The following is a 14,605-nucleotide window of genomic DNA, read 5'->3' on the forward strand; positions in this document are numbered from 1 at the left end:
CTCCAGCTTGGGCAACAGCGAGACTTCATCTCAAAAAATAATAATAATAATAGAAATACATTTTAATTTGCCCATGCGTCCAACGTCCTATAAAATAAATTCTTTTAAAAATTTATTTATTGGCTTAAAAATCAATGCTACATACAAAACTCACATGCTATTGCTTAATGAGCAACTACAGAATTCTTACCTAGATGTTCCCTTAATCAGCCACTGATTAAACACAATCCTTTTATTCCTTCTGTAAAATCTCATTCATTTTGCAAGGTTTCTTGAGCATTACACTATAATTAACTTGAATCAGGTTTTCCGTATTACTTACACCTTTATGATTTATTTCCAGGAGAGGTTTTCACATGACTGGGAAAACCCTCCACCATCTCCTTCCTTTCACTGATCATGCTAGTCTCTCCTGCCCATGAGACACAGTGAAGTACCCGCGCACCTGAGGAAAGCGGCATCCAATGAGGTGGTGGGTTTGGGTTGGGTCTAGGCACCAACCTCACATGTGGACAGAGCTCTCGAGGGTGTGGGACAAGTCCACGTTCCATTAGCTCTGTTCTTTTTTTCCCAGGGCTTCACTACTCCTTATTGGCTGCTATCTCATCCATGTTGCAAATAGGATTCTCTCCTTTCTTGGAACACTATGGTAGGGTCTCAAACTCAGGAAACCTGAATCCCTTAAAAAATTACCTACTAGAAATTGAGGGTGACAAATACACTAACAGGAAGAAGCAGCTCTCCTACGAACTGACCTCCTTATACAACTCCTTCAAAAAAGGATGCAAAGTTACCTGCAAATGCTACAATGAGAAGAATTGGAAACCTTGTTAAAAAATACTCTGTATGGCCATGAAGGCTCCTGAGAGTAAATTCCACAAATGTCCATCTGTCTCCGTGTTTGGTGTTTCCACTTTGTGCATGGGTTTGTTTGTGTAAATGTGTTGACAAAAGTGTGTATGGATGAAGATGGATGGATATATTTGTGTATGTGCTTGGTGTGTGTACAGCTCTATGCACTCTTATGCATACGTGTGTCTTCATGTATTTATAACTCACCTTTTACTGATAGGTGACACCAGGGCTGCTCCTTTAAATTCACTTGTGTGTGGGCTAGAGGATGATAAAAGAATACAGTCAGATAGGAGACACGATTCTAAATTTACTTTTTTGGAAAATTAGCTTTTATTACTCTAGACAGAAACCAATTAATTTCTGTCAGAAATCTGAGTCCCATAAAAATACTGCTTAGTAGGAACTAAGGGTGGCAATTACACTAACAGGAAGAAGCAACTCTCCTATGACCTGCTCCTTTTTATACAACTCCACCAAAGAAGGATGCAAAGTTACTAACAAATGCTACAATGAGACGAATTGGAAACTCTGTTACAAAAAAAAAAAAAATCTCTATGGCCATGCAGGCTCCTGAGAGTAAATTTCACAAACCTCCATCAGTCTCCTTTCTCCTTGGTCTATGTTTCCATCATGTGCATGGATTAGTTTGTGTACGCGTGTTGAAGAGAAGTGTGGATGGATGGATGGATGGATGGATGGATGGATGGATGGATGGATATATTTGCTCATATGCCTGTGTGTGTGTATAGTTCTATGCACACTTATGCTGACGGGTGACTTTATTTAACTATTTATTACTTACCTTTCTTTCGCAGGTGCCTCCTCGGTTGTTCCTTTAAATTCGTTTGTCTGTGGACTAGCGGATGATAAGAGAATACAGTCAGAGAGGAGACATAATTCTGAATTTATATTTTGGAAAAATTACCTTTCATTACTCTAGACAGAAACCAATTAATTTCTGACTATTCATGTATACAGCACTATTGGAACCTGGAATGTCTATTTTTCTTTATTAGAAATGAGGATGTATATGACGACAACCAAAATCTTAGGCTGGGGAAAATTGTAATGCTTCCCGATTTAAGTAAACCTCTTTATTATGACCTCAGTCCCAATGTGTGACAGATTTTCTGGTGGCAATTATTTCAAACTCAACTCCAGTTTGTAGGTAGGCAGCCCTCTTATTCCATTCAATGTCCTGCTTAAAAGGCCCTCCATTAGCTCCTTACATTCACCCAGCATGGTGGTTTCTCATGCCCCACAAAAAGGGTCAGGTAACTAGAGGTCTGACACAGGGGCACAATCCAATAGGATTTGAGGTTTGGAGCACCTGCCTCCGTGGTGGCAGAGTTCTGGAGGGTGGAGAACACCTCCAAGGCTCTTAGCTCTGTTGCTTTCTGCTGAAGGCTGCACAGTTCCCCAAGTACTCCTACTTCCTCCTCACTCCAAACAGGATTCTCTCTTCCCTCAGCCTACTCTGCTATGTCTGGTACACAGAAAATCTGCTTTTCCAAAGCATTTGCCTGCTACTTACTAAGGGCGACAAGACAGTAACAGATGGAAGCCTCTCTCTATAGTCAGTTTCTTTTTTTCTAAACAATGTTAAAATGTGGAAGTTATTTATACACGATACAGTGAGATGATAAAGAACCTGTGTCAAAGAAACACTGTATTATCGTGAACACATCTAAGAGTGAATCCCACTAATCTCGGTCTCTTTCTCTGTCACTGTTTTGTGTGTGTGTGTACATCTTTTGTTTTTTCTTTTTTTTCTTTTTTGCAACAAAGTTTCGCTCCTGCTGCCCAGGGTGGAATGCAGCGGCATGTTCTCAGCTCACTGCAAACTCCACTTCCCAAGGTTCAATCGATTCTCCTGCCTCACCCTCCTGAGGAGCTGGGATTAGAGGCACCTGCCACCACACCTGGCTAGTTCTTGTAGTTTTAGTAGAGACAGGGTTTCACGATGTTTGCCAGCCTGGTCTTGAACACCTGATCTCAGGGCATCTGCCTGCTTCAGCCTTCCAAAGTGCTCAGATTACAGGTGTGAACCATTGCACCTGGCCATGTGTACATCTTTTATAATTCACCTGTCACTGGGGGCTCTCTCAATGATGACTCCCGCCAGGGCATTCGGATCAGGACTAAAGGACAAATATGGGCAGAGTCAGACACAATGCGTAATTCTAATGTTTTGCAATAAATAGCTACAGTTAGTCTATGTGTCATTCCCTAGTTACACTTTAATTATTCACATGTACGTATATCACTAAATTGACCTGGGATGGCATTTGTCTTTTTATTAGAAATGAGGTTTCCTATGCCAACAGTGAGCATTTTAGGCTGTGAACATAGTGATGCATCCAGATTAAGTAAGGGTATCTACACCTCAATGTGTAACAGCATTTTTGGAGAGCATTTAATTCTAGTTCAAATTTACTTTCTAAGTCCCGCTTCGTATAATCCCATCTGAGTTCCTCATTCTCTATCACCTCCAATCACCTCCTCACTTTTCACCCATCCTAGTTGTCTTTCCTGCCCAAAAGTTGCGGCCAAGTAGCTGGAGGCCTCAAGCAAGGGCTCCATCCCATGTGAGGGTGGGTATGGGCAAAGGCAGTCAGCCTCACATAAAGGCAGAGCTCTGGAGGGGGTGAAATAATTCCAGGGTTATTAGCTCTGTTCTTTGTTTTGGCTGGGATTTTTCTGATCTTTGTCCACTCCTATCTCCTTCTCGCTGCAAGCAGGATTCGCTTCTCCCTTGGTCCACACTACTAGCACAGTCTCATTCTCACTGAATGGTAATGTGACAAACACTAACATAAAAAGCCTCCCTCTGTGAGTTCCTCCCCATTTTCCTACCTCCATCCAAAAAACAAAAGAACATTGCATACAAAGCTCATTCTGAGAGGACTCTAGAAATAGTTTCAAGGGAACTCCTTGTTCCCATGGATGCTTGTCACACTCAATAGCCCAACTCTCTCTTGTGTGTATGAATGCATGTATGTATGTGTTTGTATATGCATAGATACATGTATAACTGTATTCCTTGATATCGCATGGTGCATTGACCAGCCTACTAGAAGATACTCTCAATTCATACACAGGGCACTGCCAAAGAACTTAACATGTACATAGTAAGACAACATGTAACTTCCTAGACTTAAGATTTTCAGTTCAAAATAATTCCAATTGCTTTTGTTTTGTTTTTTTTGTTGTTGTTGTTTGTTGCTGTTGTTTGTTTTTTGAGACAGAGTCTCACTCTGTCACCCAAGCTGGAGTGCAGTGGCATGATCTCAGCTCACTGCAACCTCTGCCTCCCAGGTTCAAGCAATTCTCCTGCCTCAGCCTCCCAACTAGCAGGGACTACAGGTGCCCGCCACCACACCCAGCTAATTTTGTATTTTTAGTAGAGATGGGGTTTCACCATGTTGGCCAGGCTGGCCTTGAACTACTGATCTCGTTATCCACCCACCCTGGCCTCCCAAAGTGCTGGGACTACAGGCCTGAGCCACCGCACCCGACCTTCCAACTACTTTTCAACCTGTAAATTGCCTTACCCTTACAGAAGTCATGTGTGTATTTGGTTCTTTGGAATCTGCCATGCCATTTACCCTACACATCATACTTTATATGACTGCAACACATACTTCACACCTATCTAAGACTCACTGACTCAAGAGTTCACCAAAACTCTCTACCACTGGAGCTGGCCAATGCACGACAGCCTTTTGTGGGTGAATTTCTTTTAAATTCAACTCTACTGTGTAGGCATTCCTCCTCCTAATCCCAACTATGGCCCACTTCCTGGATCTCTCCATCACGTCTTTCCTTTCACCCATCATGCTAGTCTTTCCTGTCCATGGGACACAGGCTAGTAGCTGTGGGTCTAAGGAAGGTCTGCATCCAATGAGGTGCTGTGCTTGTGTTTGTGTTTTAGCACCAACCTCATATGTTGACAGAGCTCTGAAGTGTGAGGGACAAGTCCATGTTCCATTAGCTCTGTTCTTTTCTGCCCAGGGCTTCCCTGCTCCTTGTCAGCTGCTATCTCCTCCATATTGCAAATAGGATTTTCTCCTCCCTTCTGTCAATCTGGTACGCTCTCAAACTCAGGAAATCTGAGTCCTTTAAGAAGCTGCGAAATCTCGGAGGAGGAGCCAAGATGGCCGAACAGGAACAGCTCCGGTCTACAGCTCCCAGCGTGAGCGACGCGGAAGACAGTGATTTCTGCATTTCCATCTGAGGTACTGGGTTCATCTCACTAGGGAGTGCCAGACAGTGGGCGCAGGTCAGTGGGTGCGCGCACCGTGCGCGAGCCGAAGCAGGGCGAGGCATTGCCTCACTTGGGAAGTGCAAGGGGTCAGGGAGTTCCCTTTCCGAGTCAAAGAAAGGGGTGACAGACGGCACCTGGAAAATCGGGTCACTCCCACCCGAATATTGCGCTTTTCTGAGGGGCTTAAAAAACGGTGCACCGCGAGATTATATCCCGCACCTGTCTTGGAGGGTCCTACGCCCACGGAGTCTCGCTGATTGCTAGCACAGCAGTCTGAGATCAAACTGCAAGGCGGCAGCGAGGCTGGGGGAGGGGCGCCCGACATTGCCCAGGCTTGATTAGGTAAACAAAGCAGCCAGGAAGCTCGAACTGGGCGGAGCCCACCACAGCTCAAGGAGGCCTGCCTGCCTCTGTAGGCTCCACCTCTGGGGGCAGGGCACAGACAAACAAAAAGACAGCAGTAACCTCTGCAGACTTAAATGTCCCTGTCTGACAGCTTTGAAGAGAGCAGTGGTTCTCCCAGCACGCAGCTGGAGATCTGAGAACGGGCAGACTGCCTCCTCAAGTGGGTCCCTGACCCCTGACCCCTGAGCAGCCTAACTGGGAGGCACCCCCCAGCAGGGGCACACTGACACCTCACATGGCAGGGTATTCCAACAGACCTGCAGCTGAGGGTCCTGTCTGTTAGAAAGAAAACTAACAAACAGAAAGGACATCCACACCAAAAACCCATCTGTACATCACCATGATCAAAGACCAAAAGTAGATAAAACCACAAAGATGGGGAAAAAACAGAACAGAAAAACTGGAAACTCTAGAAAGCAGAGCGCCTCTCCTCCTCCAAAGGAACGCAGTTCCTCACCAGCAACGGAACAAAGCTGGATGGAGAATGACTTTGACAAGCTGAGAGAAGAAGGCTTCAGACGATCAAATTACTCTGAGCTACGGGAGGACATTCAAACCAAAGGCAAAGAAGTTGAAAACTTTGAAAAAAATTTAGAAGAAGGTATAACTAGAATAACCAATACAGAGAAGTGCTTAAAGGAGCTGACGGAGCTGAAAACCAAGGCTCGAGAACTACGTGAAGAATGCAGAAGCCTCAGGAGCCGATGCGATCAACTGGAAGAAAGGGTATCAGCAATGGAAGATGAAATGAATGAAATGAAGCGAGAAGGGAAGTTTAGAGAAAAAAGAATAAAAAGAAATGAGCAAAGCCTCCAAGAAATATGGGACTATGAAAAGACCAAATCTACGTCTCATTGGTGTGCCTGAAAGTGATGGGGAGAATGGAACCAAGTTGGAAAAAACACTGCAGGATATTATCCAGGAGAACTTCCCCAATCTAGCAAGGCAGGCCAACGTTCAGATTCAGGAAATACAGAGAACGCCACAAAGATACTCCTCGAGAAGAGCAACTCCAAGACACATAATTGTCAGATTCACCAAAGTTGAAATGAAGGAAAAAATGTTCAGGGCAGCCAGAAAGAAAGGTCGGGTTACCCTCAAACAGAAGCCCATCAGACTAACAGCAGATCTCTCGGCAGAAACCCTACAAGCCAGAAGAGAGTGGGGGCCAATATTCAACATTCTTAAAGAAAAGAATTTTCAACCCAGAATTTCATATCCAGCCAAACTAAGCTTCATAAGCGAAGGAGAAATAAAATACTTTACAGACAAGCAAATGCTGAGAGATTTTGTCACCACCAGGCTTACCCTAAAAGAGCTCCTGAAGGAAGCGCTAAATATGGAAAGGAACAACCGGTACCAGCCACTGCAAAATCATGCCAAAACGTAAAGACCATCGAGACTAGGAAGAAACTGCATCAACTAACGCGCAAAAAAACCAGCTAACATCATAATGACAGGATCAAATTCACACATAACAATATTAACTTTAAATGTAAATGGACTAAATGCTCCAATCAAAAGACACAGACTGGCAAATTGGATAAAGAGTCAAGACCCATCAGTGTGCTGTATTCAGAAAACCCATCTCACATGCAGAGACACACATAGGCTCAAAATAAAAGGATGGAGGAAGATCTACCAAGCAAATGGAAAACAAAAAAAGGCAGGGGTTGCAATACTAGTCTCTGATAAAACAGACTTTAAACCAACAAAGATCAAAAGAGACAAAGAAGGCCATTACATAATGGTAAAGGGATCAATTCAACAAGAAGAGCTAACTATCCTAAATATATATGCACCCAATACAGGAGCACCAAGACTCATAAAGCAAGTCCTGAGTGACCTACAAAGACACTTAGACTCCCACACATTAATAATGGGACACTTTAACACCCCACTGTCAACATTAGACAGATCAACGAGACAGAAAGTCAACAACGATACCCAGGAATTGAACTCAGCTCTGCACCAAGCAGACCTAATAGACATCTACAGAACTCTCCACCCCAAATCAACAGAATATACATTCTTCTCAGCACCACACCACACCTATTCCAAAATTGACCACATACTTGGAAGTAAAGCTCTCCTCAGCAAATGTAAAAGAACAGAAATTATAACAAACTATCTCTCAGACCACAGTGCAATCAAACTAGAACTCAGGATTAAGAATCTCACTCAAAACCACTCAACTACATGGAAACTGAACAACCTGCTCCTGAATGACTACTGGGTATATAACGAAATGAAGGCAGAAATAAAGATGTTCTTTGAAACCAATGAGAACAAAGACACAACATACCAGAATCTCTGGGACGCATTCAAAGCAGTGTGTAGAGGGAAATTTATAGCACTAAATGCCCACAAGAGAAAGCAGGAAAGATCCAAAATTGACACCCTAACATCACAATTAAAAGAACTAGAAAAGCAAGAGCAAACACATTCAAAAGCTAGCAGAAGGCAAGAAATAACTAAAATCAGAGCAGAGCTGAAGGAAATAGAGACACAAAAAACCCTTCAAAAAATTAATGAATCCAGGAGCTGGATTTTTGAAAGGATCAACAAAATTGATAGACCACTAGCAAGACTAATAAAGAAAAAAAGAGAGAAGAATCTATTAAACGCAATAAAAAATGATAAAGGGGATATCACCACCAATCCCACAGAAATACAAACTACCATCAGAGAATACTACAAACACCTCTACGCAAATAAACTAGAAAATCTAGAAGAAATGGATAAATTCCTCGACACATACACTCTCCCAAGACTAAACCAGGAAGAAGTTGAGTCTCTGAATAGACCAATAACAGGATCTGAAATTGTGGCAATAATCAATAGTTTACCAACCAAAAAGAGTCCAGGACCAGATGGATTCACAGCTGAATTCTACCAGAGGTACAAGGAGGAACTGGTACCATTCCTTCTGAAACTATTCCAATCAATAGAAAAAGAGGGAATCCTCCCTAACTCATTTTATGAGGCCAGCATCATTCTGATACCAAAGCCAGGCAGAGACACAACAAAAAAAGAGAATTTTAGACCAATATCCTTGATGAACATTGATGCAAAAATCCTCAATACAATACTGGCAAACCGAATCCAGCAGCACATCAAAAAGCTTATCCACCATGATCAAGTGGGCTTCATCCCTGGGATGCAAGGCTGGTTCAATATACGCAAATCAATAAATGTCATCCAGCATATAAACAGAGCCAAAGACAAAAACCACATGATTATCTCAATAGATGCAGAAAAAGCCTTTGACAAAATTCAACATCCCTTCATGGTAAAAACTCTCAATAAATTAGGTATTGATGGGATGTATTTCAAAATAATAAGAGCTATTTATGACAAACCCACAGCCAATATCATACTGAATGGGCAAAAACTGGAAGCATTCCCTTTGAAAACTGGCACAAGACAGGGATGCCCTCTCTCACCACTCCTATTCAACATAGTGTTGGAAGTTCTGGCCAGGGCAATTAGGCAGGAGAAGGAAATAAAGGGTATTCAAGTAGGAAAAGAGGAAGTCAAATTGTCCCTGTTTGCAGATGACATGATTGTATATCTAGAAAACCCCATTGTCTCAGCCCAAAATCTCCTTAAGCTGATAAGCAACTTCAGCAAAGTCTCAGGATGCAAAATCAATGTACAAAAATCACAAGCATTCTTATACACCAACAACAGACAAACAGAGAGCCAAATCATGAGTGAACTCCCATTCACAATTGCTTCAAAGAGAATAAAATACCTAGGAATCCAACTTACAAGGGATGTGAAGGACCTCTTCAAGGAGAACTACAAACCACTGCTCAAGGAAATAAAAGAGGATACAAACAAATGGAAGAACATTCCATGCTCATGGGTAGGAAGAATCAATATCGTGAAAATGGCCATACTGCCCAAGGTAATTTACAGATTCAATGCCATCCCCATCAAGCTACCAATGCCTTTCTTCACAGAATTGGAAAAAACTACTTTAAAGTTCATATGGAACCAAAAAAGAGCCCACATCGCCAAGTCAATCCTAAGCCAAAAGAACAAAGCTGGAGGCATCACACTACCTGACTTCAAACTATACTACAAGGCTACAGTAACCAAAACAGCATGGTACTGGCACCAAAACAGAGATATAGATCAATGGAACAGAACAGAGCCGTCAGAAATAATGCCGCATATCTACAACTATCTGATCTTTGACAAACCTGAGAAAAACAAGCAATGGGGAAAGGATTCCCTATTTAATAAATGGTGCTGGGAAAACTGGCTAGCCATAAGTAGAAAGCAGAAACTGGATCCCTTCCTTACACCTTATACAAAAATCAATTCAAGATGGATTAAAGACTTAAACATTAGACCTAAAACCATAAAAACCCTAGAAGAAAACCTAGGCATTACCATTCAGGACATAGGCATGGGCAAGGACTTCATGTCTAAAACACCAAAAGCAATGGCAAGAAAAGCCAAAATTGACAAATGGGATCTAATTAAAGAGCTTCTGCACAGCAAAAGAAACTATCATCAGAGTGAACAGGCAACCTACAAAATGGGAGAAAATTTTCGCAACCTACTCATCTGATAAAGGGCTAATATCCAGAATCTACAATGAACTCAAACAAATTTACAAGAAAAAAATAAACAACCCCATCAAAAAGTGGGCGAAGGACATGAACAGACACTTCTCAAAAGAAGACATTTATGCAGCCAAAAAACACATGAAAAAATGCTCATCATCACTGGCCATCAGAGAAATGCAAATCAAAACCACTATGAGATTGCCATTCTAACTGGTGTGAGATGGTATCATTAAAAAGTCAGGAAACAACAGGTGCTGGAGAGGACGTGGAGAAATAGGAACACTTTTACACTGTTGGTGGGACTGTAAACTAGTTCAACCATTGTGGAAGTCAGTGTGGCGATTCCTCAGGGATCTAGAACTGGAAATACCATTTGACCCAGCCATCCCATTACTGGGTATATACCCAAAGGACTATCAATCATGCTGCTATAAAGACACATGCACACGTATATTTATTGTGGCATTATTCACAATAGCAGAGACTTGGAACCAACCCAAATGTCCAACAGTGATAGACTGGATTAAGAAAATGTGGCACATATACACCATGGAATACTATGCAGCCATAAAAAATGATGAGTTCATGTCCTTTGTAGGGACATGGATGAAATTGGAAAACATCATTCTCAGTAAACTATCGCAAGAACAAAAAACCAAACACCACATATTCTCACTCATAGGTGGGAATTGAACAATGAGATCACATGGACACAGGAAGGGGAATATCACACTCTGGGGACTGTTGTGGGGTAGGGGGAGGGGGGAGGGATAGCACTGGGAGATATACCTAATGCTAGATGATGAGTTAGTGGGTGCAGCGCACCAGCATGGCACATGTATACATATGTAACTAACCTGCACAATGTGCACATGTACCCTAAAACTTAAAGTATAATTTTAAAAAATAAAAATAAAAATAAAAATAAATCTCTCTTGTTGAAGCCAAAAAAAAAAAAAGAAGCTGCTTACTAGGAACTAAGGGTGACAAATACACTAACAGGAAGCAGCAGCCCTCCTGTGACCTGCTCCTTTTCCTATGACTCCATTAGAAAAGGATGCAATGTTACCTACAAAGGCTACATTGAAAAGAATTGGAAACCCTGTTAAAAGCTTCTCAGAATAAACTCCACAAATGTCCGTCCATCTGTCTCCTTGTATGTTTCCACTGTGTGCATGGGTTAGTGGATGTGTTTGGGAGAAGTGTGTATGGATGGATGCATGGATGCATGGATGGATATATTTGTTTATGTGCCTGTGTGTGTGAATACTTCTATGCTCAGTTATAATTAGATAAATAAAGACACATGTATGCATAACTCACCTTTCATTCATACGTGCCTCTGGGTTCACTCCTGATAATTCATTTGTGGGTGGACTAGAGGATGACAAAAGAATACAGTCAGACAGGAGACACAATTCAAAATTTACTTTTCTCGTAAAACTAGCTTTCATTACTCTGCACATAAACCAGTTAAGTTTTGACTATTCATGTGTATAGCACTATTTGGTCTGAAATGTCATTTTTTTATTAGAAAGGAGGCAACCAACAAGATGGCAACCAACATCTTAGGCTGGGGAAAATAGTAATACTTTCAGATTTAAATAAACCTCTTTATTATGACCTCAGTCCCAATGCGTGACAGCCTTTGTGGTGGCAGTTATTTCAAACTAAACTTTTGTGTGGAGGTAGTCAGCCCTCTTATTCCACTAAATGTGCTGCCTTGAAAGCCCTCCATTACTTCTTCATTTGATTGTCTCTCTTGGTCCACAAGTAGGGTAAAGTAACTGCAGGTCTGAGTCAAGGACACAATCCAATATGATGGTATTTGGGGTTTGGAGTACCACCCTATATTGTGGCAGAGTTCTGCAGGGTCAAAAACATTTCTAGGGTTGTTAGCTTTTTTCTCTTCTCCTGAGGAGTTCTGCCTCCCGGGTTCACGCCATTCTCCTGCCTCAGCCTCCTGAGTACCTGGGACTACAGGCGCCCGCCACCACGCCCGGCTAATTTTTTGTATTTTTAGTAGAGATGGGGTTTCACCGTGTTAGCCAGGATGGGCTCGATCTCCTGATCTCGTGATCCACCCGCCTCGGCCTCCCAAAGTGCTGGGATTACAGGCATGAGCCACCACGCCCGGCCTCTATATTGATTTATTTATGTCTCACAGTTCACTGATAGCTCCACTCCAGGGTACTGATTTGAATTTAGACTTGGCAGCGCTACAGAATTTAAATATATATATGTATCGTCCAACACCAATATGACATCCTAGACTTCACTTTCTGGTTTGAATTACTCACAAGCGATGTTTAGTTCTTTACAATTGAAGGAAGCACAAACTAAGCATTTGGTGGTTTATTTCAAATTCAGCTGCAGTTTCTATGTACAAATCCCCTTGACCTCATCTCATTTCCTGACACTAAAATCCCTTCATCAGTGCCTTCTTTTCACCATCATGGGTGTCTTCTCTGCTCTCACACAGGGTCAAGAAACTGCCCCATACAATGTGATGATGGGTGTGGGCTTGTAGTGTTAGCCTCACATGGTGGTAGAGCTCTGGGTGTGAGGAACCCTGCCAGGGCCATTAGCTCTGTTTTTTTTCCCCGAGGGCTCCACTGCTCCCTGTCCACTGCTACTCGCTTGTTGCTCTGCATAGGGTTTTCTTCCCTTGGTCCACTCTAGTATGTCTCATACACAGGAAATCTGACTTTCCTAAGTATGTGCCTGCTACTAAGGGTGACAAGACAATAACAAGAAGTTTCCCTTTTTTGCCCTGTTCCTTTTTTATCCAATTTAATCAAAAAGTTGGATAAGAGACCTGCAGGGCCTATAGTGAGGAGATTTATAAATGGTGTAAAAGACATTCTGTATGGCCATGGATGATCCTGAGAGTAAAGCACATAATCTTCATCCCTCTTTCTGTTGTTTCTCTCTCTCTTTTCTCTTTCTCTCCCTTTCTCTCTCTCCCTGTGTTTGTGTGTCTAGATAGACAGAAGTAGTATATCTGCACATACATTTCTTTACATATTTGTGTACACATATTTTATAATTCACATTTCATTGGTGGTTCTATCACAGGTCATTGATGTCAATTCTGTATGCAGGCTAAAGGAATATAAAAGTAGATAGTTGGACACACATATAATTCTAAACTTACTTTTTGGATCAAACAGCTACAGTTACTCTATAATGTACTATCTGGTTGATATTTAAATATTCATGTGTATATCACTAATTCAAACTAGATGTATCCTTTTTTTTAGGCGGATTCTCACTCTCATCGAGGCTGGAGTGCAGTGATGCGATCTTGGCTCACTGCAACCTCCACCTCCCAGGTTCAAGCAATTCTCCTTCCTCAGCCTCCTGAGTAGATGGGATTACAGGCATGCACCACCACACCTGGCGAATTTTTGTATTTTTAGTAGAGACAGAGTTTTGACATGTTGGTCAGGCTGGTCTCAAATTCCTGGCCTCAAGTGATCTAGCTGTCTTGGCCTCCCAAAGTGCTGGGATTACAGATATGAGTCACCATGCCTGGCCAGTGGCATTTATTTCTAATGTAACTGCAGTCTGTAAGGAAACATGCCTCTTACCCCATCTAAATTCTTGATTCCTAAGTCCTTCTGTCACTTCTTTACTTTCACCCATCATGGCTGTCTTTCCTGCCCAGAAGATATGACCATGTAGCTGTAGCCCTGAGTCAGAACTCCCTACAAAATGATTGTGGGTTTGGGTTTCGTTTGGGGCACCAGCCTCACATGGTGGTAGAACTCTAGAGGGTGAGGAACCCATTAAGGTTTCATGAACTCTGTTCTTTTTGCTGAGTGCTTCACTCCTCCCTGTTACCTGTTACCTCCTCATTGCTCCAAATAGGATTCTCTCTCCCTTTGGCCCACTCTAGTAGTAGGAGAGTCTCATAAATGGAAAACCTCAGAGGTTCGTTCCTAAGGGATTGGATACCACCAACTTAGAGTGACAAATATACTAAGAGGAAGAAGCATCCCTTTCATGACTTCGTCCTCTTTTATCCAATTTGGTCTGAAAAAAAAAAATAGAAGGTTATCTATAGATCCTACAGTGAGAAGATTTAGACATAGTGTCAAAGATACTCTGTATTTCCAAGGATATGCCTGACAGTGAATTTTACAAATATCAGCTTCTCTTTCTCTGTCATTGTTTTATGTTTCTGTGTGTGTATGTGTATGCATGAGTGTATGTTATGTGTATATATGTATATATACACTTACGTGTATATAAATCTTTTTTTTTTTTTTTTTTTTTTTTTTTTTGAGACGGAGTCTCGCTCTGTCGCCCAGGCTGGAGTGCAGTGGCGGGATCTCGGCTCACTGCAAGCTCCACCTCCCAGGTTCACGCCATTCTCCTGCCTCAGCCTCCCAAGTAGCTGGGACTACAGGCGCCCGCCACTACGCCCGGCTAATTTTTTTTGTATTTTTAGTAGAGACGGGGTTTCACCGTTTTAGCCGGGATGGTCTCG

General features: G+C 42.2%; 1 protein-coding gene across 7 annotated transcripts in view; it reads right to left on the bottom strand.

The window, feature by feature from the left end:
- Positions 1 to 14,605, bottom strand: part of TPTE2 (transmembrane phosphoinositide 3-phosphatase and tensin homolog 2) — a 138,698-nt gene that overhangs the window by 68,914 nt on the left and 55,179 nt on the right. For 6 of the 7 annotated variants that reach the window (NR_073485.2, NR_073487.2, NR_073486.1 and 3 more), the window contains 3 exons: positions 11,434 to 11,487; positions 1,658 to 1,711; positions 1,060 to 1,113 (listed from right to left, as the gene is read on the bottom strand). Coding sequence is in view for 4 of the 7 variants with exons in the window: in NM_001395978.1 (NP_001382907.1) it covers positions 1,060 to 1,113; positions 1,658 to 1,711; positions 11,434 to 11,444 (119 nt within the window). In the remaining 3 variants the exon portion in view is untranslated. Of the gene's footprint in view, positions 1 to 1,059; positions 1,114 to 1,657; positions 1,712 to 11,433; positions 11,488 to 13,956; positions 14,149 to 14,605 lie in introns of those variants that run through there. The other variant, NM_001141968.2, reaches the window with a different exon arrangement.

The sequence above is a fragment of the Homo sapiens genome, chromosome 13, assembly GCF_000001405.40.
Source record: "Homo sapiens chromosome 13, GRCh38.p14 Primary Assembly".
NCBI lineage: Eukaryota > Metazoa > Chordata > Mammalia > Primates > Hominidae > Homo > Homo sapiens.